The sequence below is a fragment of the Homo sapiens genome, chromosome 6, assembly GCF_000001405.40.
Source record: "Homo sapiens chromosome 6, GRCh38.p14 Primary Assembly".
Lineage (NCBI taxonomy): Eukaryota > Metazoa > Chordata > Mammalia > Primates > Hominidae > Homo > Homo sapiens.
In genome coordinates this window covers 30,020,178-30,046,039 of record NC_000006.12, presented here as the reverse complement: position 1 = coordinate 30,046,039, position 25,862 = coordinate 30,020,178, and the positions used below count along the sequence as shown (strand labels likewise).

At 39.0% G+C, this 25,862-nt stretch overlaps 2 pseudogenes across 2 annotated transcripts in view; one reads left to right on the top strand and one right to left on the bottom strand.

Moving 5' to 3' along the window:
- Positions 1-25,862, top strand: part of POLR1HASP (POLR1H antisense, pseudogene) — a 60,179-nt pseudogene that overhangs the window by 15,150 nt on the left and 19,167 nt on the right. Inside the window, exons 4-6 of one of the 2 annotated variants that reach the window (NR_145416.1) lie at positions 10,057-10,124; positions 10,930-11,132; positions 24,279-24,373. The product of NR_145416.1 is annotated as a POLR1H antisense, pseudogene, transcript variant 2 (transcript). The remainder of the gene's footprint in view (positions 1-10,056; positions 10,125-10,929; positions 11,133-24,278; positions 24,374-25,862) is intronic. The other variant, NR_026751.2, reaches the window with a different exon arrangement.
- ETF1P1 (eukaryotic translation termination factor 1 pseudogene 1) lies at positions 12,163-14,327 on the bottom strand (annotated as a pseudogene).

The following is a 25,862-nucleotide window of genomic DNA, read 5'->3' as shown; positions in this document are numbered from 1 at the left end:
TTTGTAATAATATTGGGTGTGTTCGGCCTCGGCAGGCCTCAGGAATCAGAATCTCTCTTCTGGCCTCATTTCACCTGCCCCAAGGCAGGACTCTAATCTTCTGCCTTTCTGATTATGGGTCTTAAGACCCTCTCTGGAGAGGGTCCCACACTATACATTGGGAGAAGGAATGCTGGTGTCACGAAGCTTCCATAAAAACCCAGGAGAACTGGGTTCAGGGAGCTTCCAGGTAGCTGAACAAGTGGAGGTTTTTGGAGGTTGGTGTGCCCAGGAAGGGCATGGAAGCTCCATGCTCCTTCCCTGATACCTCACCCTACACGTATTTTCATCTGTATCCTTTGTAATATCCTTTATAATAAACTAGTAAACATAAATGTTTCCCTGAATTCTGTGAGCTACTCCAGCAAATTAGTGAAGCCCAGAGTGGGTGGTGGGAACTTCTGCGATTGGTGTCTGATGTGGAGTAGTCTTGGGGACTAAGCCCCCAATCTGTGGGATATGATGCTATCTCCAGGTAGACAGTGTTGACATTGAACTGGAGGATACCCAGCTGGTGTCCACTGCTTGGTGTGTGGGGAAAAACCCCCACATCTTTGGTCACAGAAGTCTTCTGTGTTGATGATTGTTGTGGTATGAGAGCAGAGGGAAAATGTGGTTTGAGAGAGGGTTTCCTAAAATAGGGTTACAAAAACATAAATGTCACAGATATTCTTTCCAGAAAATATGTGCATATACAAAGAAATATAAATATTAGTATAAAATCTTAGTGTATACACAGGTCCTCTGAAGTCTTAGACATCTAGATTTTAAAAAATCCTAACAAGAGATAAGTTTTGAGCAATCATTTCACCATCCCACAGTGCCACTCTACTTATCTGAGTATAAACTGATCAGGAAAAAGTTGTACTTCATAACAGACTATCAAGGAAATAAATTGAAAGTTGTAATTAATTAGTCACTGATTCATTCAGCAAAACCCAAGTGTCTATGATATACCAGATAAGGTTCTAGTCTCAGATTACTGCTCTAGGAATTGACTTTTTTTTTCATTCTTTTTCCACTCTATCTTCCTGTGTCCCAGCACCTGAACCCTCTCCATGTTAGGGAGAATTTCATACTTAAAGAGTATGATTTCATACTTAAAGAATTTCATACTTAAAGAGTCATTGTAGGAAGCAGACACCAACTTCTTCCACGAAAGAAAAACTCACTTTTCCAAATATTCTGGCAGCTGGATATGGGATGAGGCTTAGGTTCCACCAGGCAGATAACCACTTGCTGGATTCTGACTCAGCCTGGTGACATAAGCTGGTACTGTGCACACATTTTAGTAAGTGTGGTGTGAGTTGCAGCAGCAATGTCCAGTTGCCAGGAGCAGTCGTGATAGCAGTTCTATCTGCAAGGTCCAGTGTCTAGCTTTAGAGTGTCATTGGTATGAACAGTGACATCTGTGCCCAGCATCAGGGGCAGTGATTCCTATGTGAGACTCCACCTAGGATGGGATTATAGATGCTGCTTCTAGCTATGTAGCTTTAAGCCTATTCTCACAGACCTTCCCAAAATAAAATAAACACCAGCCTAATGAAGATAGATGATAGATAGATAGACAGATAGAAGTCCTTTATGTTTAAATTAGAAAAAATAGCATTTAAATGTGGACTTAAGACCCTTTCCCACCCTAGGCACTGTTGATCACTGACCTCAGTGGTTCCCAATCTGGCTGATCACCAGGATTCCTTGTAGATTTTTTACAAAAATACTCAGGCCTTTCCCCATACCCACCATCTCAGAAGTGGAACATGGATCCCAGGAATAACAAGCCACAGGTGAGGCTGATGCACAGCCACCTGGGAATCCTGGTCTACATTCTTGCTACTAAAAGTGTGATCTGAAGACCATCAGTGTCTGCCTCAACTTTTTTATAAACACAGAATCTCATTCTCAACTCCAGACCACCTGAATCTTAGAAAGTTGTCCAGGTGATTCCTACGCACACTAAAATTTGAGATTCTCAGATTTACTTACTTTCTAGATGTGGTGTTAGAACTGTGCAGTCTGCTGTCAGAGTGTGTTCTGATGAAATCCCTTAGCACTGAAGGTCCAGGGTTCAGTCCATGTCCTTTTTCTCTTCTATAGCCATCTTTCCCTTGGCGACTCATGCATGCTCTATGCTTTAAATATCATTAATATGGCATTAACTCCTAAATCTATTTTCCCAGCCCAGACATTTCTCCTACATTTCCAACTTGCATATCCATCTGCCAACACAACAACCTCACTTGAATGTCTGACATCTGAGATTCAACATTTCCTAAATTGAATGCCTATAGTGCCCCCTCCTCAAATATGCCCCTTTCAGAATTTTCCCCATCTGTGCTGACAACAACTTCATTTTTCTACTTGCACAGTCTGAAATTTTGGGGTTCCTCTTTGACTCCTCTTTTTCATACCCCAGACTTAATCTATTAGGAAGTACTGTGAAGTCCATATTGAGAATGTGTCTGAAATCCAATCACTTCCCACTCTTTTCTCTGCTCACACCCCAGGCAAAGCAACCAGAGTTGCTAATCTGAAATACTGCACTAGTTTCCTACAGTTTTCCCACTTTCTCACTCACCCCTCATCTCTCAATTCTGTTCTCAGCATAGCAGCCAGGATGATCCTTTTAAAAGATGTGCCAAGTCTCTACTCTGCTGACAGCTGTTTGTGTCTCCCCCATCTCACTCAGAGCAAAGTCAGAACCCTTCCAGTATCCTCAAGCCTACATGATCTCCCCAAATCTCTGACCTTATATCAATGACTGCTGCAGCTATCTGAGCCCCCTCAACTCCTCCCACAACCCAGATGTGCTCCTGTTCTGGTGCCTTTGCACTGGGGGTTCCCCTGCCTGGAAAGAACCTGCCCCAGACGTCCTCATAGATAATTCATCTTTTCTCTTAAGGTCACATTCCCAGTGAGACCATAGACCACCCTAGTAAAACAGCCATCTTCCCTGTCCCCACACACCCACAATCTGGATCACCTGCCTCACACCCCTCAGCACCTTTTGACAGAAACACTTTCCTTATTTACTCTGCTTATAGTACATAGTCTGTGTTTTCCCACTAAAACATGTGCCCCTCAAGGCCAGCAATTTTTGCCTGTTTTTAGTTTCCAGATGTAAAACTAGCATTTCATACAGCCAGCACTCAACAAATATTGGCTAAATGAATGACCAGTGTACAGCACCTCCCTATTCTAGAAACAGTATCTTTATTAATGTAGCTGCAGACCACATGCTGTTTTGTGGCAGCTACAGTGAAACAACCACTCATGTTGACATCAATGCTGCCTGTACTTTTCTCACAAATGCTGTTCTCGCCTCCCTCCCACACCAATCCTCATATACCACAGCAGACAATTATAGTTCCCTTTTCAGAAAAAAAAAATGATCCTAGGCTTATGGACCCTATTTTCCAACCAACTGTGAATTAAATTAGAGTCTAGACATCCATGAGTTTGGATTTGAGCCAGCACTAGGATTATTACAGCCAAAGGCAGGGAGAGAGGGTAGGTGAGCCAAAAATAAATTCCTGTTAGAAACCTAACAGGAGTTTATCTAAGGTGAGAAACCGAGATATGATCTCTAATTCCAGAATTTGATTTCCTGAAAAAGATTGGGGAAAAGATGCGAAGAATAGTCCAGGAAACAGCCCTGGAAGGACAAGAGCTGGGTGGGTCTAAAAATTGGTCTCTTGATACCACAGAGACTCCTGTGTGCAGGGGCCACCCCAGGGCTTGTGAGGACAATGACAGAAAAAGTAACTCCTACGGCTGTCCTAGAGGAGATTGGAGACTTGGAGACCAGAACTCAGATACAAGAAGAAGAACAGGCATAGTCTTCTGTCAAAACAAAACAATGAACAAGATGGGGGCTGAGGGCCAGACCTAAGCCTGAGCCTAGGCTGACCTGGTCACACAAAGCCCTTGCCACAGTCCTAGAGACAGGATAAGGCCTGGCCCTTCTCCTCCTATACCAAATGCTCTTTGTCACACATTCTCCCTTAATCCAGAGCTAGGAGTTACGTCATCGTTTCTCAAACGTTTTGGTTTCAGATCTCTGCATGCTCTTAGGAATTAGTGAGGACTCTGAAGATAATTTTATGTGAGTTATATACGTTAATATTTACCATATTAGAAACTAAAATCACTTAAATTATTTTATTCATTTAGAATATTAATAATGCATTGCATGTTAGAAATATTTTTATGCAAAGTCAGTATTTCCCAAAGTAAACAGTATAGTGAGAAGAGTGCATCTTTTTACATTTTGTATGTTTGTAAATCCTTTTCTTATGTGTCTCATTAGAAGATTAATGAATTTTCTTCTCCTTCATTTAATCTGTTATTTTGGTTAATCTGTTATGTTTGGTTGAAGTGTATGAAAAAAAATCCATCCTCACACAATGATATTTTTGTTGCTGTTCTTGTTTTGGGTTTTGTTGGGGGGTTTTGTTTGTTTGTTTGTTTCTTTTGGTCTCATGCTATCACCCAGGCTTGAGTGTAGTGGTGTGATCATAGCACACGGCAGCCTCGAATTCCTGGGCTCAAGTGATCCTCCCAATTCAGCCTCATGAGCAGCTGTGACCACAGGCACGAAACACCACCGCAGCTAATTTTGTTTATTTTTTGTAGAGATGGGGGTCTCATTCGAACTCCTGGGTGGAACTCCTAGGCTCAAATGATTCTCCTGCCTTGGCCTCCCAAAATGCTGGGATTACAGGTATAAGTCACCTCGCTAGGCCAGGAATGTTTTTAATAACATTTTTAGAAAACTGGATGTTCATCCTTGATACTACACTAAAATGATAGAAGTGTTAGCTTCTTAAAGGTTATTTGTAATGTGGAACATGAAACTATCAATAACTATTTCACATGCTGTTACATTAAAATATATAGGTCCGACTTCCACATTGAATGCTTCTTGTATAATACATGACTTTTAAAAAAAGAAACAAAATTTCACCACATTATGTCTTCCAGTGTTGACACATTTAACTACAAGTTATCAAAAAATCACATTTTTTAATATTACCACAGATATTACCAGAAAAGATTGTTAAGTATTGGGAAGCCATCAGGCTTATGATGGTGGATACAAGTTCCCCAGGATTCTAATTTTCTCTTGAGAGCTTGCCTTTTATCATTGGGAATAATACCATCAGTTGATTATGTGGAAGGGACAGGGTTATGTTCGTTTTTGAGAAAGTGTCAGCCAAATATTCAAGTCTAAATGATAATCATTTCTGTCATTCATTCTTTCAAGTAAAAAGGATATTCCATAAAAAATAGACTAGTACAACTCACAAAATGATTTTGTGGACACAAACATTTTAATTTGTTTTTGTTTTCGTTTTAAGACAGGGTCTCGCTCTGTTACCCAGGCTGGAGTGCAGTGGCATGATTTTGGCTCACTGAAACCTCCACCTCCCGGGTTCAAGTGATTGTTGTGACTCAGTTTCCCTAGTAGCTGGGACTACAGGTGCGCACCACCATGCCTGGCTAATTTTGTATTTTTAGTAGAGACAGGGTTTCACCATGTTGGCCAAGCTGGTCTTGAACTCCTGACCTCAAATGATCCACCTGCCTAGGCCTCCCACAGTGCTAGAATTAATTGCAGGTGGGAGCCACTGCGCCTGGCCTCAAACATCCTAATTTGGAATGTAGTAGAAATACCTTATGCGTACTTCCCACTTACTCATTTAAGATATATTAAACTGTGGATTCTGGGATAGAGATTTAATAAAGTTAATAATTCTTTGATACTTCAACCAGGACATATTTAAGTGAAACCTGTTTTTTCTTCTATAATTAAGAAGTGGTTAAGAATATAATAACTACTATTTCAGTTTGGTACCATAGCCTCCCTTCTTGTCAAGTTTTACTTTAGTACAAATAATGTCTTCATTGTATTATAAAAATACTTTTAACCTTGTGGATCTATGAAGGGGTTTCAGCAGCCCACAAGGGTTCCACAGATTGCACTTTGAGAAATCCTGTTCTGGGTAAGCTGTGGAGAGTTCTTGACTGGCCCCTTTGCCTCTTCATTTTCCCAAATTTTTCTCCCCGAGCAGGACTCCCTGCATCCCAAAACTTAGCTAGCGCTAAGTTTGCCTTGCCCTGGGCTCTTATAGAAGAGAACCTATCACCTGTAAATTGGATGCAGAGAGTGTCCTTAGTCTGGGAACAGAGGTGGCAAATGTGTTTCCATTTTGGAGCTGGGAATGGTTTGCGCCTAAAAGCACAAAATAGAGATTTCACTCCTGACCCACTTTGAATTTGCAATCTCTATGAGAAATAATATTGGCCCTTTCATTTCTGTTTTTTCCAAGATGGGGTCTCACAGTGTCACCCAAGCTAGAGTGCAGTGGCATGATAATGGCTCACTGTAGTGGCGAACTCTCGGGGGGCTCAAGCCATCCTCCCACCTCAGACTCTTAAGCTGTTGGAACTACAGGCACTTGCCAGCATGTCCAGCTAATTTTAAAAATTATATATTTTGTAGAGCTAATTTTAAAAAATATTTTGTAGAGATGGGATCTTGCTATGTTCCCCAGGCTGGTTTCAAACTTCTGAGCTCAAGCGATCCTCCTGCTTTGGCCTCCCAAAGTGCTGGGATTACAGGCGTAAGTCACCACAACCAGTCACCCTTTCATTTTAGATGTGTCTAATGCACTTGACTTGAGGCCCACATAGCACCAAGAGCAGTTATCTTAATCCATCAGGCTGCTATAACAAAAATACCCTAGATTAGGTGGCTTATAAACAAAAGAAAGATATTTCTCACAGTGCTGGAGGCTGGGAGGTCCAATATCAAGGTGTCAGCTAACTCTGTGTCTGGTGAGGGCCTGCTTCTTCATAGCTGTCCTCTCACTGCATCCTCCCATGGCAGAAGGGCCAAGACAGCTTTCTAGAATCTCTTTTATAAGGGTACAAGTTCAATTCATGGGAGTTCTGACCTCATGACATAATCACTTCCTCTAAAACAAACCCACTTCCAAATATCATCTCACTGGGGATTAGGTTTTATTTTGGGAGGAGCATAAAAATCTCTATAGCAGTAGTGCTGTTCAATAGAACATTCTGTGATGATGAAATTGATCTATATCTGCACTGTCCAATATGGGAGCCACTAGTTACATGTGGTTATTGAGCACTTGGAATGTGGCTAGTGTGATAAAGAGTTGATTTTTTAAAAGTTTTATTCAATTAATTGAAATATAAATAGCCATGTGTAGCTAGTAGTTACCATTTTGCTTATCTAGAGTGCTCTTAGTTTTCAATCTCCCCCACAAAAAAAGATACCTTGTGACTCCCAGATTGAAATACATTAAAATTACCTTCACATAGAACCCATGGATTTGGCTATGTGGGTCTTAGACATATCCCTAAAATACAGCAGGCCCAAGAAAGTTCAATATGTATTTTAACAATTAGAGTGTACGTATAGATTACCAAAACATGATTTATCAACTCAAGGTCATACATTTTCAAAAATGCTTATCACCAGAGCTAATCCTTGTCAATATTTCATTGAGACTCTTGGTGTTACTGTTTTCTATAACCTGGTGAACACAAGGAGGTATATAAGTCATTACTTAGCCCAAGAGAAAGTATTTATTGAAGTTGCCATATAAAATATCTTATAGGCTTTGTAGACATATTTTAAAATTATAAGCAAATGATTTAAACTTTTTCATTTTTGAGATAGAGTCTTATTCTGCCACCCAGGCTGGATTGCAGTTGGGCAATCATGGCTCACTGCAACCTCCGCCTCCCAGGTTCAGGTGATTCTTCCACCTCAGCCTCCCAAGTAGCTGGGCCTACAGGCACACGCCACCACACCTGGCTAGTTTTTGTATTTTTTGGTGAATACACCATGTTGGCCAGGCTGGTCTTGAACTCCTGACCTCGAGTGATCTGCCTACCTTGCCCTCCAAAAGTGCTAGGATTACAGGCGTGAGCCACCACACCTGACCAGGTTTTAAATGTTAAAACTCCACCTTAGAACTCTTTGCTTCTTGCTCATTCCCCCCAGCTTTCTCCCCAAATCAAACATATCTGTGTGTTTCTCTTCACTCTGGGACTTCCCTCTCTTCATATCATCTGTACCTAGATGAAAATAGATGTTAAGTTTTACAATTGTGAGGTAGAAAAGGATTCTGTAAGCATGACCCAAATATGAAAAGCCATAAATAAAAAAATAAAACTTCTCTATGTCAACCACAGACTCACAAATATACAAACATATGCCTGTGATCAAATTCAAAGACACATAAATAATTGGAAAGACAAAAGGTAGCATATTTCAATGTCTTTCAGCCAAAGACCACCAGGAACATCTATAGCTGAACAACTGGGGTTTATTACTCATTGTCACAAGAGAGAATGCACACCATCTTAGCGTGAGGATATTAGAAAAAATGCAATATAGGATTTGGTCTTTTAGTGGATGTTTTTGGGGAGAGCTAACGAGGTAGGGGTTGACTGTAGATGGGGTGTTGTCAAAAAGCAGGAACATTTCTACGACTGTCTCAATAAATCTTACCCATAATAAATGCAGAGCAGAGCAAGGATAAAGTTGTGGCTGGTAAAGAAACAGCCGTCACTCATATTAGCCAGCAGGGGGAGAGGTTTGGTATTTTGTGAGGTACACAGTGCCTTGGTTTTTGTCTGTGCTTATACTAAATTATGTAGTGCCCCTGTTTTGTCTTGTTTTATCATGTTCCCAGAGTGTCCTTGTCTGATGTTGTGTAATATGGTTTATGTCCAAGAAAAGAATAATATGGCCTAGTGTTGAGCAGTAGGACAGCTTCTAACAGTACTGAAACCTACTGTCAGTGTCAGAAGTCAAGAGCTGCTTTTTTTCTTAGTCAAATTCAACATTTTTAAGTCATCCCAATAGAAAAATAATAATATTAGAAAGCAATATGGGAAAGAATAAATCAAATATCAGACAATATACTCTGATTAATGAATATGAGGAAAAATGAGAACATGACATTAGAAATGCGAATGAAAATTAAAATCTGTCAGTTTGGCATATGTGAAAGTAAATGATAAGCATATTATCCAGAGGTAGGGAAAATACACTGTCATGAAGGCTGATGAAAAACGGGTATACTTTGGGAGGCCGAGGCAGGTGGATCACGAGGTCAGGAGATCAAGACCATCCTGGCTAACACGGTGAAACCCGTCTCTACTAAAAATATTAAAAAAAAAATTAGCTGGGCGTGGTGGCAGGCGCCTGTAGTCCCAGCTACTTGGGAGGCTGAGGCAGGAGAATGGTGTGAACCCAGGAGGCGGAGCTTACAGTGAGCCGAGATCGTGCCACCGCACTCCAGCCTGGGAAACAGAGCAAGACTCTGTCTCAAAAACAAAACAAAACAAAACAACAACAAAAAACACTGGGGTATAAATTTCTAGAGGGGACTTTTGCGAAACATGTTAACAATATAAATGGACTTACATTTCAATGCATATATTTCTCTTTCAAGAATTTTTCCTAAGAAGATAACTGCACACATTCTAAAAAATATATGTTCAAGGATGTTTCTTGAATTTTGGTTTATAAAAGCAAAATGATTGAAACAATCCAAATGCTGTAATCAATATAGGGATAGTAGCTATGAGTAGCAGAACACTTAATATACCTCAAGGTATAATACCATGTGTTTTACTGAGAGAGTCAAATTTGATCTTCAATGCAAACCCATGAGAAGCCCGATATGTGATATCTTTGTATAGACAGGGAAAGGGAGACTCAGAGAGGTTAAGCAGGTGGTGGGGGTGGAGTGGACCCAGGGAATTTTCTCTTAATGGAATCATCTTTCACTGATTCCCTGTCCATCTGGTGGTGGATATGACGCTGTATCCCATGCCAGTGAACTCTTTCAATGTCCCTGAATGTTCTATGACAGGAGGTCATGAGATACAGTGCTCAGGAGAACATCAAGGGGCAATTGATCAAGGAAGTCTGATTTCCCTGCCTAACCACACTTATATTTCCTCATTCAGCATGTATTTCAAGTCCTCTGATGAATCATGTGATCTACTAGACCCTGAAGATACAGTGAAGAGCAAAAGTAAGATGCTGGCAATTTGATGTTTGCACTGTCATGAAGGAGATGCACATTTAGCAGAACTTACAAAGAGAAATATAAAATTACTGCTGAGCTAAGTGTGGTGAAGAAAAGTTCATGGTACCATGAAAGCAGATAACCAGGAGATCTAACAGGTCCACTACCACTATTCTCAATAATACCTAAAAGAAATAATAAGATATGGCATTTATAAATGATGAATAGGATTTTATAAAATTATATACAATCAGAGAACCAAAAAGCACTCTTGGAAATCAAAAAGTGATCATTTAAATAAGTATTTCAATAGATCACTTGGAAGAGTAAATTTGTACTACCACTAAATATTAAAAATGGAAAAACAATGTCAAGAAAGACAGAAAAACTATACGAATACTAGGCTATCAGTCAAGGATTTCCTGCAACTTAATAATACAAATTCTAAAAGAATGGAAAGATAGAAATTATTTAAAATAAAAAAATTTCTCCAAGTTTACAGACAAAAATTTAACTTGTAATGGCCCCAACCAAGTTCTTACTATAGTAGATGAAAACAGACCCACACCAAGACACATCACAATGAAATTTTAGAAGGTGGGTGGAAAAGAAGAAATCCCAAAAACATCAAAAGGCAAGAAAAACAACATTAGAAGCTAAAAAATGTTGATGGAATGTCATGGAAATTCCTAGGAAAAATGTTTTCAATACAGAATTCCATACCAAGTCCAGGTTGGAATAAGTGCTAGGGTAGCCCGAAGACATTTTCAGAAGCTTAGGCTTTCAGATTTTACTTTCCATGTTCCCTTAGGAACACAGATGAAATGAGAAACAAAAACGATGGAGAAAACCAAAAAAGGGGACACATGGGATCCAGGCAATAGGAGAGCCAGCATAAGAGAGAGCCAGAGGGATGCCCAGGATGAGGTGAAGACGATCTTGGAAATCAGCCCAGATGTGCATGCACCAGTCCACGTGTGGCAGGACCAAGGGAAGTGTCTTCACAAAGATGAGGTTGGTAGAACACGGGGCATGGTTGAATATATTCATGGAGACTGTCTTAGTTCATTTATGCTGCTATAACAGAATGCCATAGTCTGGGTCAGTTATGAAGAACAGAAATTTGTTTTCTCAGTTGTGAGGCTAGGAATCCAAGATCAAGCCACCAGCATTTGGCAAGAGCCTTCTTGCTGTGTCTTCACATGGCAAGTGGGTCAAGGGCAAGAGAGAGGACAATATTATTATTATGGGCTCACTGCCATAATAATGATATTAATTTGTTCATGAGGGCTCTGCGCTCATGACTCAGACAGCTTCTATTAGGCCTTACTTTCCAATATCACTGCATTGGGGATCAAGTTTCCAACACATGAACTTTGGGGAACACATTCAAACTATAGCAGAGGCCTTGGAGGGAAATTTGGAAGAGATTTTATAATGAGTACAACAGAAATTAAGCACATGAAGGGATAAAACATTTATTAATTCCAGGGAAATTAAAAAGTCAATTCCAGGAAGGAAAATAATCCTTGTGAATAGCATTTCCTAATCTAATTGTGAACAGCATTTCCTAATCTAATTGTGAATAGCATTTCCTAGTCTAGCTGTGAATAGCATTTCTGTGGTCATAATAATATAAATAGTGAACACCCAGCTAACCAAAATTATAAAATAACTATATTGAGAGGAGAGGGGTATATGAAAGGGAGCTATACACTAAGGATGATACATAAGAGTGAAAAACAAAACGGCACTATAACACACTATTTGGAGGCACAGATGTAACGATCAAAAAATTAGGCAGAATAAAGTAGATTGCCTCTAGGATTCAGGAAATGGTGTACATGAAAGATTGGGGACATCTGTGTTCATAACAAGCCTTGTAGAAGTATTTGGCTTTTGAAACACTGTCCATAAATCCATTTGATATATTAAAAACATCATGAGACAATTGACTAAGGAATTATTCTATAAGGAGTGTCAGAGAAATGGGGCGGTAATTGGAGGGAGACATGGAATCAGGCAATGGATTTATTTATTTTATTTTTAATTGTTTTGCTTCCACTTAAATTGCATGTTTTATTTCTCCCAATCCCAGCAATAGCACAGAAGCCCCATCATATCCATCCCAAACTGGTTTCGAGTAGGTTAAGGTTATTGGGACCCTTGTCGGAACATTGATACAAAGAGCTCCCAAACACCGGGCACAAATGTGTCTGCAAACAGATGGAAGTAAACAGTGCACTGGCCCAAATGCTTCATGAGTCAGTTTGATTTTGCAATGCAATTTTCATCCTTGAAACGGCCAGTCTGGAGGGGGAAGGGGTAGCGTGAGGGAGTGAAGTTGAAATTGCCTCCTATTAGCTCACTCTTTCATCATTAAACAGAGACCAAGAGAGAAATGGTTCCAACATTTCACCACATATATTTCTTCTTATGCAGTCTAAGCTGAGAATGCCATGTAAATGGGTCACTGCAAAATGTAGCAATTTAATTTCTCTCCAATCAAAATAAGAAAGCAGTACGATCTCACTTCTATTAACTTTTGAAGGTTTACAGCAGTTAAAGTATTTTTGCTTATTTGTATAAAGGTTAAAAAAATCATTTTTTAAATAAAATACAAGAGCAGCCAATTTCACCATCGAGTAAAAGTAAAAACTGGGATTCTTTTTTAAATTAGTCCAAAGTGGCATTTAGGAACTTAGTTGTAGGCTGCTACGCTGACACCGTGACAAACCAAAGTGTAGGGTTGGGTCTGGTTTTGTTTCTGTTTTCTTTTCAATATCCAGTGCTCATGGATTAAGTTCTGGAAATGTTCCAATTGTAAGGCAGGGATCTGTTTGGATTCCATCATGAGTATGCTCCTTGGGTTGGATGCTGGAGAGTGAGGCATGTTTTGCCGGACCCATGTCGACTACCTAGTAGTCATCAAGGTAAAAAAATTCATCGTCTCCTCCTTGGTATTCCATTCTTTGGAAATCCACTTGGTACCACAAGAGACCTCCAATTCTACCAAATCCTTTCACAAACTGAGACCCTTCTTGTGATTTATATGTGACAATTTCCAATGTAGCTCCGACTTTTTTATAGTTGTTAGCAAACCATTTCAACAGGGGCATGCTCTTGATAAGCGCATGTTCCTGCCTGGTCTCTTTGTCTGTGAAATGAGATTTATCCTGTTCTTGCTCTGGAGTTAGAGAATTTTCTCCTCTTTTGTGCCTTGGCAATGAAGAACATATCTCATTATATTCAGATTTTCATAGGCTATTAGAATTTCTACAGCTCCCATTTCCAAAGCCTTTAGTGTATCTTCAACACCAAAACAGTACCTGCCTGTGTCCTGGCTGATTTCATCAATGTATCCCTACTAATTTCTTCTTTTGAATAAATTTCACTTTGGAGAGGACTTCAGTAGATAGCCCAACAGCTTGGTTGAATCCATTTTCACCACCATAGGATATATCAACTAATTTCTTTTTTTTGAGACTGAGTCTTGCCGTGTTGCCCAGGCGGGAGTGCAGTGGTGTGATCTGGGCTCGCTGCAAGCTCCGCCTCCCAGGTTCACGCCATTCTCCTGCCTCAGCCTCCCAAGTAGCTGGGACCACAGGCACCCGCCACCACGCCCAGCTAATTTTGTTTTTGTATTTTTAGTAGACACAGGGTTTCACCGTGTTAGCCAGGATGGTCTCGATCTCCTGACCTCGTGATCCGCCCGCCTTGGCCTCCCAAAGTGCTGGGATTACAGGCATGAGCCACCACGCCCGGCCTATCAACTAATTTTAAAACTTTCGATTGTAACCGCTGATCAAACGTATCAGATTGACTTAGTTCAGTTTTAAAGTCAGCGGATCCAGCTAAAACTAGACCAGCCACCTTCCCTTTGTCCCCAGAAATAAACAGCTGCACAGCAGTCTCTGCTACTTTCTGAACATTGTTAGGTCACTTTTCCATTCTTAAACAGGCAAAACGCAAGGCTGACTGACCTTTACCGTGTTTCTTTGGGAGATCCACAGTGAGTTTTTGCAGGACTTCTCTTGTGTTTCCTTGGAGGGTGCCAAAAAGTGCACCACTACCATCTATTACGATGAATCCAGACTTGCTTTCATCTGAAAGTAGTGCTGTAAGAGCTTCTGTATGGAATTTGTTGTCACACAAATACAATGATGTATTAATTGGTTTGAAATGTTCAAAATCAATGTTAACTTTCTTGTGCACATTTATAAGTAGATAGGCAAAATGAAGGAAAATTCAGAACTGAAATGGTCATTATTTTTAAAAACCAGCAATTATAGAGTTAACATGTAGAAGTTCTCTCTCTCTCTCTCTTTTTTTTTCTGCCTACTTTGAACATGATGACATTTCTACAGGTGTTGAGATAAAACTCACTGCTTATGGCATTTCAGTCAAGGAAAGAAAACAGCCTTAAAGGCTTTGAAATTAATGGCTTTACAGATTACAATAGCTCCATGGTAATCAACCACCTAGACACCTTTTTTTTTTTTTTTTGAGATGGGGTCTCACTCTGTCCCCCAGGCTAGAGTACAGTGGCCTGATCTGGGCTCACTGCAAGCGCCGCCTCCCGGGTTCACACCATTCTCCTGCCTCAGCTTCCTGAGTAGCTGGGACTACAGGTGCCCGCCACCACACCCGGCTAATTTTTTGTATTTTTGATAGAGACGGGGTTTCACCGTGTTAGCCAGGATGGTCTCAATCTCCTGACCTTGTGATCTGCCTGCCTCGGCCTCCCAAAGTGCTGGGATTACAGGCGTGAACCACCGCACCTGGCTGACACCTTTTATAAATATAAATTTAGGTTTCCCTAACAACTGTGTACAATAATGAAACACTTAATTGAAAAATTAGTAACATAAAAGAAAAAAAAATAAATGTTTATAAAAGTTAGGCTCTCAGACCAAATAGGTCAAAATCTTGATCTCAGAGCAATAATAGAAGGTATCCCTGTTCAACAGAAAAATTTTGTTTTTTGTGCCATGCAAAAGCCAAAAAGAAAAAGGTGAAGAAAAAAAAACAGCTAAAATTCTTCCCTCCCCACATTTGCTAATTAAGCAAACAAGACTGGTAAACAAAAGATTGATTTGTTACTAATTCAAGGCTACTTGGAGATATTTTGCTTATACAATTCAGTTAAAAAGAAACCCATAACTCACTTGAAACAACAACAACAAAAAAGGTGGGGGCAATGAAAGAAGTTTTTTTAAAAAATCTAACTGCCACGGAAAGTGCTTTACCCAAAATTTTGGTCCATAGCTCTCATTAGATTATAAAGGCAACTGAAGTTTAACCTGGACACATAAAATATACCAAGAATGAACCAAGAAGAAATTAAAAACCTGAGCATACCAATAATGAGTAATGAGCTTGAATCAGGAATAAAAAGTCTCCCAACAAAGAAAAGCCCAGTACTGGATGCCTTCATTGTTCAGTTCCACCAAACATTTAAAGAGAGACTGACACCAATTCATCTGAAACTATTCCAAAAAATTGAAGGGGGAAGGAGTTCTTTCAAATTTATTCTAGGAAGCAAGCATTACCTTGTTATCAAAACCAGGGAAGGATACAACAACAAAAAAACTACACGCTGATAAACACAGATGCAAAAATTAACAAAATAGTAGCAAACTAAATCCACAACACATCAAAAAGATTATATGCCATGATCAAATGGGATTTGTTCCAGGGATGCAAGAATGGTTACATATCTGCAAATCAATAAACGTGATAGATCATATCAACAGAATGAAGGACAAAAATAAAATGATCATCTCTAGATGCAGAAAAAGCATTTGGTAAAATTCAACATCACTTCATGATTAAAAACTCTCAACCAACTAGGTATAGATGAAATGTACCTAAATACAATAAAGGCTGCATATGACAATTCGATAGTTGACAACATACATAATGGAAAAAAAGTTGAAAGATTTCCCTCTAAGAATTGGAACAAGATAAGGATGCCTGCTTTTACCAAATTTAACATAGTACTAGACTGATTCCTATGGAAATGGATAGAAAATTTTAAAAGATTACAGCAATGACAACAACAAAAACACATAGTACTGGTCCGACCCAGAGCAATTAGGCAAGAGAAGGAAATAAAAGGCATCCAAATTGGAAAAGAGGAAGTCAAATTGTTGCTGTTTGCAGATGACATAATCTTATTTATACACAAACCTAAAGACTCCATCAAAAAACTCTCAGAACTGATAAACAAATTTAGTAAATTTACAGAATATAAAATCAACATAAAAAAACTGTAGACTTTCCATACAAATCAATAAACATGATAGAGCATATTAGTGGAATGAAAGACAAAACTAATATTATCATCTCTATAGCTGCAGAAAAAGCATTTGATAAAATTCAATATCACTTCATGATAAAAACTTCCAACCAATTAGGTATAGATGGAATGTACCTAAACACAATAAAGGCCATAGAGGCAAACTCAAAATGATGAAAAATCAAGAAAGAAATCTCATTCACAGTAACTATAAAAAAGCATGGGAATAAATTTAACCAAGTATGTAATGAAAACTATAAAATACTAATGAAACAAATAGAAAAGGACACAAAAAATTGAAAGATATTCCATTATCATGGATTGGGAGAATTAATATTGTTAAAGTGACCATACTACCCAAACCAATCTACAGATTCAATGCAATACCTATCAAAATACCAATGTCATTCTTTATAGAAATAGAAAAAGAAATCTTAAAATTTGTATGGAACCACAAAAGACCCTGAATAGCTAAAACAATCTTGAGCAAAAAGAACAAAGCTGGAAGTATCACAGTACCTGACTTCAAAATATACAGCTATAGTAACCAAAATGGCAAGCAAGGTATTGGCATAAAAACGGACACATAAACCAATGAGACAGAATAGAGAACCCCGAAATAAATCCATATATTTACAGTTAATTTCTTTTTTCTTTTTTTTTAATTTGAGACGGAGTCTCGCTCTGTCACCCAGGCTGGAGTGCAGTGGTGCGATCTCGGCTCACTGCAACCTCCACCTACTGAGTTCAGGCGATTCTCCTGCCTCAGCCTGGAATGACAGTCGTGTGCCATCACGCCTGGCTAATTTTTGTATTTTAGTAGAGACGGGGTTTCACCATGTTGGTCAGGCTGGTCTCAAACTCCTGACCTCGTGATCCGTCTGCCTCAGCCTCCCAAAGTGCTGGGATTACAGGCGTGAGCCACCGTGCCCAGCCACTCAATTTATTTTTAACAAAATCACCAAGAACATATACTGAGGAAAGGGCAGTTTCTTCAATAAATGATGCTGGGGAAACTGGATATCCATATTAGGAAGTATGAAACTAGACTGCTATCTCTCACCATTCACAAAAATCAACTGAAAATGAGTTAAGGACTTAAATGCAAGACCCAAAACTATGAACCTACTGGGAGAAAACATGCAGAAAACACTTTAGAGTGTTGGACGCAGGAAAGATTTTGTGATTAAGACCTTGAAAGCACAGGCAAGAGAAGCAAAAATGTATGAATGGGACTACATCAAACTAAAAATTTCCTGTACAGCAATGAAAACAATCAACAGAGATAAAACAGCAACTTAGAGAATGAAAGTATTTGCAAAGTATTCATCTGATAAGGGATTAATAGCTAGAATTTACAAGAAACTCAAACAACAGCAAAATAATAATAGTATCATTTTAAAAGGAGCAAATGTGCACCCATCACCCACGCAGTACACACTGCACCCAAATTGTAGCTTTTTGTCCCTCACCTTCTTCCCTCCCTTTCCCCGAGTCCCCAGAGTCCATTGTGTCATTCTTATGCCTTTGTATCCTCATAGTTTTGCTCCCACTTAAGAGTGAGAACATACGATGTTTGGTTTTCCATTCCTGAGTTACTTCACTTGGAATAATAATCTTCAATCGCATCCAGGTTGCTGTGAATGCCATTAATTCATTCCTTTTTGTGGCTGAGTAGTTTCTTTATCCACTCATTGATTGATGGGCATTTGGGTTGGTTCCACATTTTTGCAATTGTGAATTGTGCTGCTATAAACGTGTGTGCAAGTATCTTTTTCATATAATGACTTATTTTCCTCTGGGCAGATACCCATTGTGGGATTGTGGGATTGCTGGATCAAATGGTAGTTCAACTTTTAGTTCTCTAAAAAAATCTCCACCTTGTTTTCCATAGTGGTTGTACTAGTTTACATTCCTATCAGCAGTGTAGAAGTGTTCTCTGTTCAGGCCAGGCACGGTGGCTCCAGCCTGTAATCCCAGCACTTTGGGAGGCCGAGGAGGGTGGATCACGAGGTCAGGAGATCGAGACCATCCTGGCTAACACAGTGACGCCTGTAGTCCCAGCTACTCGGGAGGCTGAGGCAGGAGAATGGTGTGAACCTGGGAGGCGGAGCTTGCAGTGAGCCGAGATTGCGCCACTGCACTCCAGCCTGGGCTACAGAGCCAGACTCCGTCTCAAAAAAAAAAAAAAAAAAAAAAAAAAAGAAGTGTTCCCTGTTCACCACATCCATGCCAACATCTATTATTTTTTGATTTTTTGATTATGGCCATTCTTGCAGATATAAGGTGGTATCACATTGGCGTTTTGATTTACGTTTCCCTGATCATTAGTGATGTTGAGCATTTTTTCATATGTTTGTTGGCCAGCTGTATATCTTCTTTTGAGAATTGTCTACTCATGTCCTTAGCCCACTTTTTGATGAGATTGTTTGTTCTTTTTCTTGCTAATTTGTATGAGTTTGTTGTAGATTCTGGATATTAGTCCTTTGTCAGATGCATAGATTGTGAAGATTTTCTCCCACTCTGTGGGTTGTCTGTTTACTCTGCTGACTGTTCTTTTGCCGTGCAAACACTCTTTAGTTTCATTGGGTCCCAGCTATTTATCTTTGTTTTTGTTGCATTTTGCTTTTGGGTTCTTGGTCATGAAATCCTTGCCTAAGCCAATGTCTAGGAGGTTTTTTTCAATATTATCTTCTAGAATTTGTATAGTTTCAGGTCTTAGTTTTAAGTGCTTGATCCATCTTGGTTGATTTTTGTATAAGGTGAGAGTTGAGGATCCAGTTTCATTCTCCTACATGTGGCTAGCCAATTATCCCAGCACCATTTGTTCAATAAGGTGTCCTTTCCCCACTTTATGTTTTTGTTTGCTTTGTTGAAGAACAATTGGCTGTAAGTATTTGGGTTCATTTCTGGGTTCTCTATTTTGTTCCATTGGTCTATGGGCCCATTTTCATACCAGTACCATGCTGTTTTGGTGACTTTGGCCTTATAGTATAGTTTGAAATCAGGTAATGTGATGCCTCAAGATTTGTTCTTTTTGCTTAGTCTCGCTTTTGCTATGCAGGCTTTTTTTGGGTTTTATATGAATTTTAAGATTTTTTTTCTAGTTCTGTGAAGAATGTTCGTGGTATTTTGATGAGAATTGCATTGAATTTATAGATTTCTTTTGGTAGTATGGTAATTTTCACAATATTGATTCTACCCATCCGTGAGCATGGGATGTGTTTCCATTTGCTTGTGTCATCTGTGATTTCTTTCAGCAGAGTTTTGTAGTTTTCCTTGTAGAGGTCTTTCACCTCCTTAGGCTAGGTATATTTCTAAGTTTGTTTTTTTTTTTTTTTTTTTTACAGCTGTCGTAAAAGGGATTGAGTTCTTGTTTTGATTCTCAGCCTGGTCACTGTTGGAGTATAGGAGAGCTACTGATTTGTGTACATTAATTTTGTATCCAGAAATATTGCAGAATTTTTGTATCAGTTTTAGGAGCTTTTTGGAGGAGTCTTTAGAGTTTCCTAGGTATACAATCATATCAGCAAACAGTGACAGTTTGGCTTCCTCTTTACCGATTTGGATGACCTTTATTTCTTTCCCTTGTCTGACTGCTCTGGCTAGGACTTTCAGGACTGTGTTGAAGAGAAGTGGTGAGAGTGGGCATCATTGTCTTGTTCCAGTTCTCAGAGGGAATGCTTTCAGCTTTTCCCCACTCAGTATTATGTTGGCTGTGGGTTTCTCATAGATGGCTTTGATTACATTGAGGTATGTTCCTTGTATGCCGATTTTGCTGAGAGCTTTAATCATAAAGGATGCCAGATTTTGTTGAATGTTTTTTTTGCATCTATTGAGATGATCATGTGATTTTTGTTTTTAATTCTGTTTATGTGGTGTGTCACATTTATTGACTTGAGTGTGTTCAACCATCCCTTCTTCCCTGGTATGAAACCCACTTGATTGTGGTGGATTATCTTTTTGATATGATTTTGAATGTTTCCATCACAAAGAAATGGTAAACGTTTGATGTGATGCATAGGCTAAATACCCTTATTTGCTTATTACACATTGTATACATGTATCAAAATATCACACTGTACTATATCAATATGTATAATTATGTCAATTAAAATAAATAAAAATAGTAGCCATGACTTTAAATAACTTAAGAAATAATATAATGGACCAGGGGATGAGGAAATAACATGACCCAGCCCTGACCAATCAGAGTTTCCCACACTGTACCACATCTCCATAACAACAGGTATTGGTCCAAAGGTCATCTTCTCTGGTTCTTTATTTATGAACATTGTGAGAAAGATGTCTATTTTTCTGCTGAAGCTGTTAAGGTAGAATAATATGAGAGGAGTTGGAGCTGATAAGCTGATATTGGCTATCTTCTTTAGAAGTACAGAGAGATCTGATGACAAATGTATCTCCGAATCTAATCATGTCTCTAGGCAGCCTCACCCCTGGCCTTTCCAGATAAATTTACATGTTGAATCTTTTCTTTAAAATTATTAACTTGTGACTAAAAAGGTCTTGCTTCTATAACACAAATATTATTTGTTTTTAAGTGAAGGCCAAACAGATTTTAATGTTCTCTCCATCAGTGAGCTATAATTACTAGAAGTATAGTCCTGGACATATCACTTATATTAACCTTTCTCATTCCCAGTGTTACATCTGAATCTTGAAGACATAAAATGAGCTTTGACCTAGTATAAGGATTAGGAGGTAGAATAAATGTAAAGTACCAGGACCTGACACTTGGAAAGTTTTTTTAAACGTCTCAGCTCTTTTCATCATTTGTAAGCTGCACTATTAATTTATTAACAGTTTTTGAGGGAAAACTTAAATCTGCATTAAACATTTGCAGTGTTTTTGGCTGATTGGCATACTTATATTTATCCTTTCAATTATGTAATATTTTCCCATCCATAGCCAAATTTTAAGACTTACATTTTTGAGAAATATAGAGTCAAAAGCATTTTCTGACTTGACTTAGGCCACAGGTTACTCTGCACAGCATCACTGAGACACACCTATCTGTAAAGCTTTTCATATACATAATCTCCAAGACATATAATGCTGTATGGAGACACTTGAATTTCCACAAAGATGCTGGACATTTCATCAGGACCTTATGGCGCTGGAGGCAGATAAGATCTTTCAGAATCAAATTAGCACCCCTTGGCCTGAAGCCTCACATGCTGAGATACAGAGTTCCTAGGGTCCCTCCTGAATATGGTCTTCAAGATGAAGAGAAAATGTCAGGCTATGAGATTCAAAAGAGAGGAGTCAGAGAAACACCTCCCCTGGAATCAGGACCAATTTTAGTTTTGAGATTTAGTCAAAGAAAGATATAGAAGCTAAATATAGGGCCACAATTTGAAGACATAAGAAAGGTAAGATTTCACAGTGTTAGTGCTGAGATGGGGCCAGTTGTACAATATGATCCCAGAATCTCAGTGCTGACATCATTCCAAGTTTAATCTTCCAATTCTCCAACTCAGAATGTCATATTTTCCTCCTTCACTCCCACGTCACCTCCTGTAGGGCACTTCTGCATGGCGTGCAAAGAATCTCCCTTGATGGCTATTTTCTGTGCTTGCCCCTGGAGTCTTCTCTGTGTTGCACCTGTGATCACACTGTTCTATAACCAGGTTCTTCCCCCAGAGGACTGAGGGCTCCCTCCATGTATCTCCAGTACTTAGCACAAGATGAGTTTTATTGCATACTTTACTTCATTTTTATCATATATTATTTAAAAATGGTTCTACAAAGCTTATAGTGAAAACTCTTAACTTTTCAGAGACAGGAATTTTTCCCTGTCCCACATCTCCTAATCTGAAAATTTCTGTTTTGTAGAAGCGGCCACTTTTTGTTCTTCAAAAAATTAAACATAGAATTGACATATGATCCAGCAATTCCTCTTCTGGGTACAGACCCAAAAGAAGTTAAAGCAGAGACCAAGCAGATATTTGTACATCATGTTTATAACAACATTATTCACAACTGCCAAAAGGTAGAAGCAACAGAGTATACATCCATCGATGGATGAACAAAGTATGGTAGATCCATACAGTGGAATATTTTTCAGAAGAAGGAAGGAAATTATTTTCCTGTATTATGTATGAACCTTGAAGACATGAAGCTAGATTAAATAAATCAGACTGAAAAGGAAAAATATTGTATGAATCCACTTACATGATTCACCTAGTTTAGTAAGATTCATAGACAGAATGTAGAATGGAGGTTATCAGGGGCTGGGGAGGAGGAGAGAGTGAGGAGATGTTGCTTAATAGACCTAGCATTTAGTTTGGGAAGATGAAAAAGTTCTGGAGATGGAGGGTGGTGATGGTTACACAGCATGAATATACTTAATGTCATAGAACTATACACTTAAAAATGGCAAAATGGTAAATTTTATTATATATTTTTTTAACCATAATTTAAAAAAGCAGCTACTCTAGTGCTTTAAATAGCTTCTTCTTATCCTTATCTCCATATTTCTTTATTTCTTGTTCAAACTTTTTTTATTTTTTATTTTTGGAGACAAGGTTTCTCTCTGTCACCTAGACTGGAGTACAATGACATCATGGCTCACTGCAGCCTTGGCCTTCTGGGCTCAAGTGATCCTCTCACCTCAGCCTCCTGAGTAGCTAGGACTACAGGTGCAAGCCCACCACACCTGGCTAATTTTTCTGTTTTTTGGTAGAGATGGGGTCTCACTACATTGCCCAGGCTGGTCTTGAACTCTTGGCCTCCCAAAGTGCTGGGATTATAGGTTTGAGCCACTGTGCCCAGCCTCAAACTTTCCATTATAGAAAACTTCAAATACACAAAAACAGAATTATATAATGAATTCTCATTATCCATCATCACATTCAATAATTACTAACATTTGTCCATCATATTTCATATGTTTCCACTTTTTTCCAGGAGAATTTTAAAAAATAGACTTCAGTTCTAGAACAGTTTTAACTACAGGAAAATTGAGAAGTTGTTTCTCCTGTTATTAACATCTAACATTAGTATGGTTCATTTCTTACAATTATTGAACCAATATTGATGCATTATTTTTAACCAAAAGTCATACATTACTCAGGTGTCCTTGAGTTTTACCTAATAATATTTTTCTACTCCAAGGTCCCATTCAAGATACCCTATTACATGGGGTTGTCATGCCTCCTTAGGCTCCTCTTGGCTGTGACAATTCCTCAGATTTTCCTTGTTTTTGATGACCTAGACGTTATTGAGGAATACTAGTTAGGTATTTTATAGAATGTTCCTCTATTGGAATTCGGTGTTTTTTTTTTGTTTTTTTTTTTTTTTCATAATAAGTAGAGGTTATGGATTCGGGGGGAGGAAAGCCACAAGTGAGGTACCATTTTCATTACATGATATCAAGAATTCACACTTCCAGAAGAGGGAGTTAATGCTGTTCCTTTAAGGACAAAGTATCTACCTACCTTATTTGGAGTTCTTCTGCAGGAGAGATTTTGCCTCCTCTCCTCCATTGATTTATTTATCACATCATTTATATCATTATAAACTCATCTCTGGAGGATTGTAAAAGCAAATCCTTTACATACAATTTCACAGTTAAATAGTTCAGCATGCATCTTTCACAGAATAGGGTTTTTAAAAAACATAAAGCCATGCTATTCTCACACTAACAAAATTAACAACAGTTCTCTAATTTTGCTAAACACTCAATGCATATTCAAATATCTGTCTTGTCTTTTTCAATTGGTCTGTCTGAAACAGAAGCTAGAGAAGGTCCACACATTGCAATTGCTTCTTATGTCTCATTATTCTCTGTTCTTCTATACCATACCACCCACCCTACCTATTTTTTTTTTCTCAAGGCTTTGATTTGTTGGAGAAACTGTTACCAGAAAAACAGGTCCCGATCCCGACCCCAAAAGAGTATTCTTGGATCTTGCACAGGAAGGAATTAAAGGTGAGTCACAGAGTGCAGTGAGAAGGAGATAGTTTATTGAAAGTTACTCAGATACAGAGTAGGTGTCCTCAGAAAGCAAAAGGAAGAATGCACCATCTTTGTTGTAAACTCTTCTAATGTAGGGGTTTAATCTACATAAAAGCTAAGTTAAATGTCTATGTGTGGGTGCTCTGACAGCATGACAAAATTTAGGACCTATTGATTTAAAGAAAGTTATCCTTGGCATTTTAGTTAGTATATCAAAGCATGACTATAATAATCTTAAAAGCATATATTATAATGTGACGTCAGGACATGTGGACATTCTGTTGTCTGTCATAGGCGTTTGTTCTTGCAGGCATTATTAAGTTGTTTAATCAGCTGTAAACCTCTTATGACCATGGGTTGTGACTGGCAAGGAATATGCCTTGCTAGTTGAAAGATGGAGTTGACTTTAAAATGGTGTCACCCTGGCTCTCCTATGCTTCTGTTTCCCCAAAAAAGCCAGGTTACTTGTCCTGTAGAATGATCCACATTCTGAGTTTGGCTAATGACATTCTCATGGTATTAACTTGTTTCTTTATATGTTGTTTTTTCTGTTACCCACAAAATAATTCTTCTGATACACATTTGTAATCTTACCATGCCAGCATCTGCTACTCTTCATGTTACCAAATTTCTGTTCAAGGACCACTAAAGCCACAGTCAGTGGACATTCTGAGACCTCTAGGGGAGGGTGGAGATGCTGTCCTTTAATATAGTCTGACCCAAGCAACCTCCCCACTTGGCATGGTGAATCTAGACAAGCTAAAGAATTTACTACGCCCCAGGCCTGCACCAGCCCTCTCCTAAGACCTTGGGCACTCTCATTTCCCTTTTTTTTTTTTCTAAAGGAAGTCATAGTTTCTCATAACCTTTGCTAGTGATCCTGGACCTTGGTTGTTCCCTGAGGCTGTGTTCTCCACACTGCTGCCATCACTGCTACAGCAGAGGTGCAGAAAGCTCAGGAGAGAGAAGGGAGGAAAAGCTGAAGATTTTGTGTTATTCATGCTTTCCTGACTCCGGCGAAAGTGCTTCCTCCACCTGCAACCATTTCTGTTTCTATACTGCTGAGTCTTGTGTTCCCAAGACCAAGGGAAGCCCATTTTCTTTAAAGCCAGTCACAGTTTCTGTTGGCTGATGGAATATCTGTTGTCCAGCAGTTGTATTCCTGCTCACAAATGCAAAACAGTTTGATGCCACGCACATTCCAGGGCTTAGACTGGAAATGCTGTCCCTTGCCCCTTTGTTACCTTCTGACAGGGATCAGTCCATAGTGTAGTTGGTGTCACAACAGTCCCGAAGAAGCCTTCCAATAGATACCCAAATGTGATTCAAAGTGGCACAGGCACACACCACGGTGCCACATGGTGCCTATGTAAAGCAGGTATATCAGGAATGCTAAGCAGAGAAGTAGCAGAACACACTGATCCCCATGTTCTCATTGTACAGTTGGGTGCAATTAAGCTGG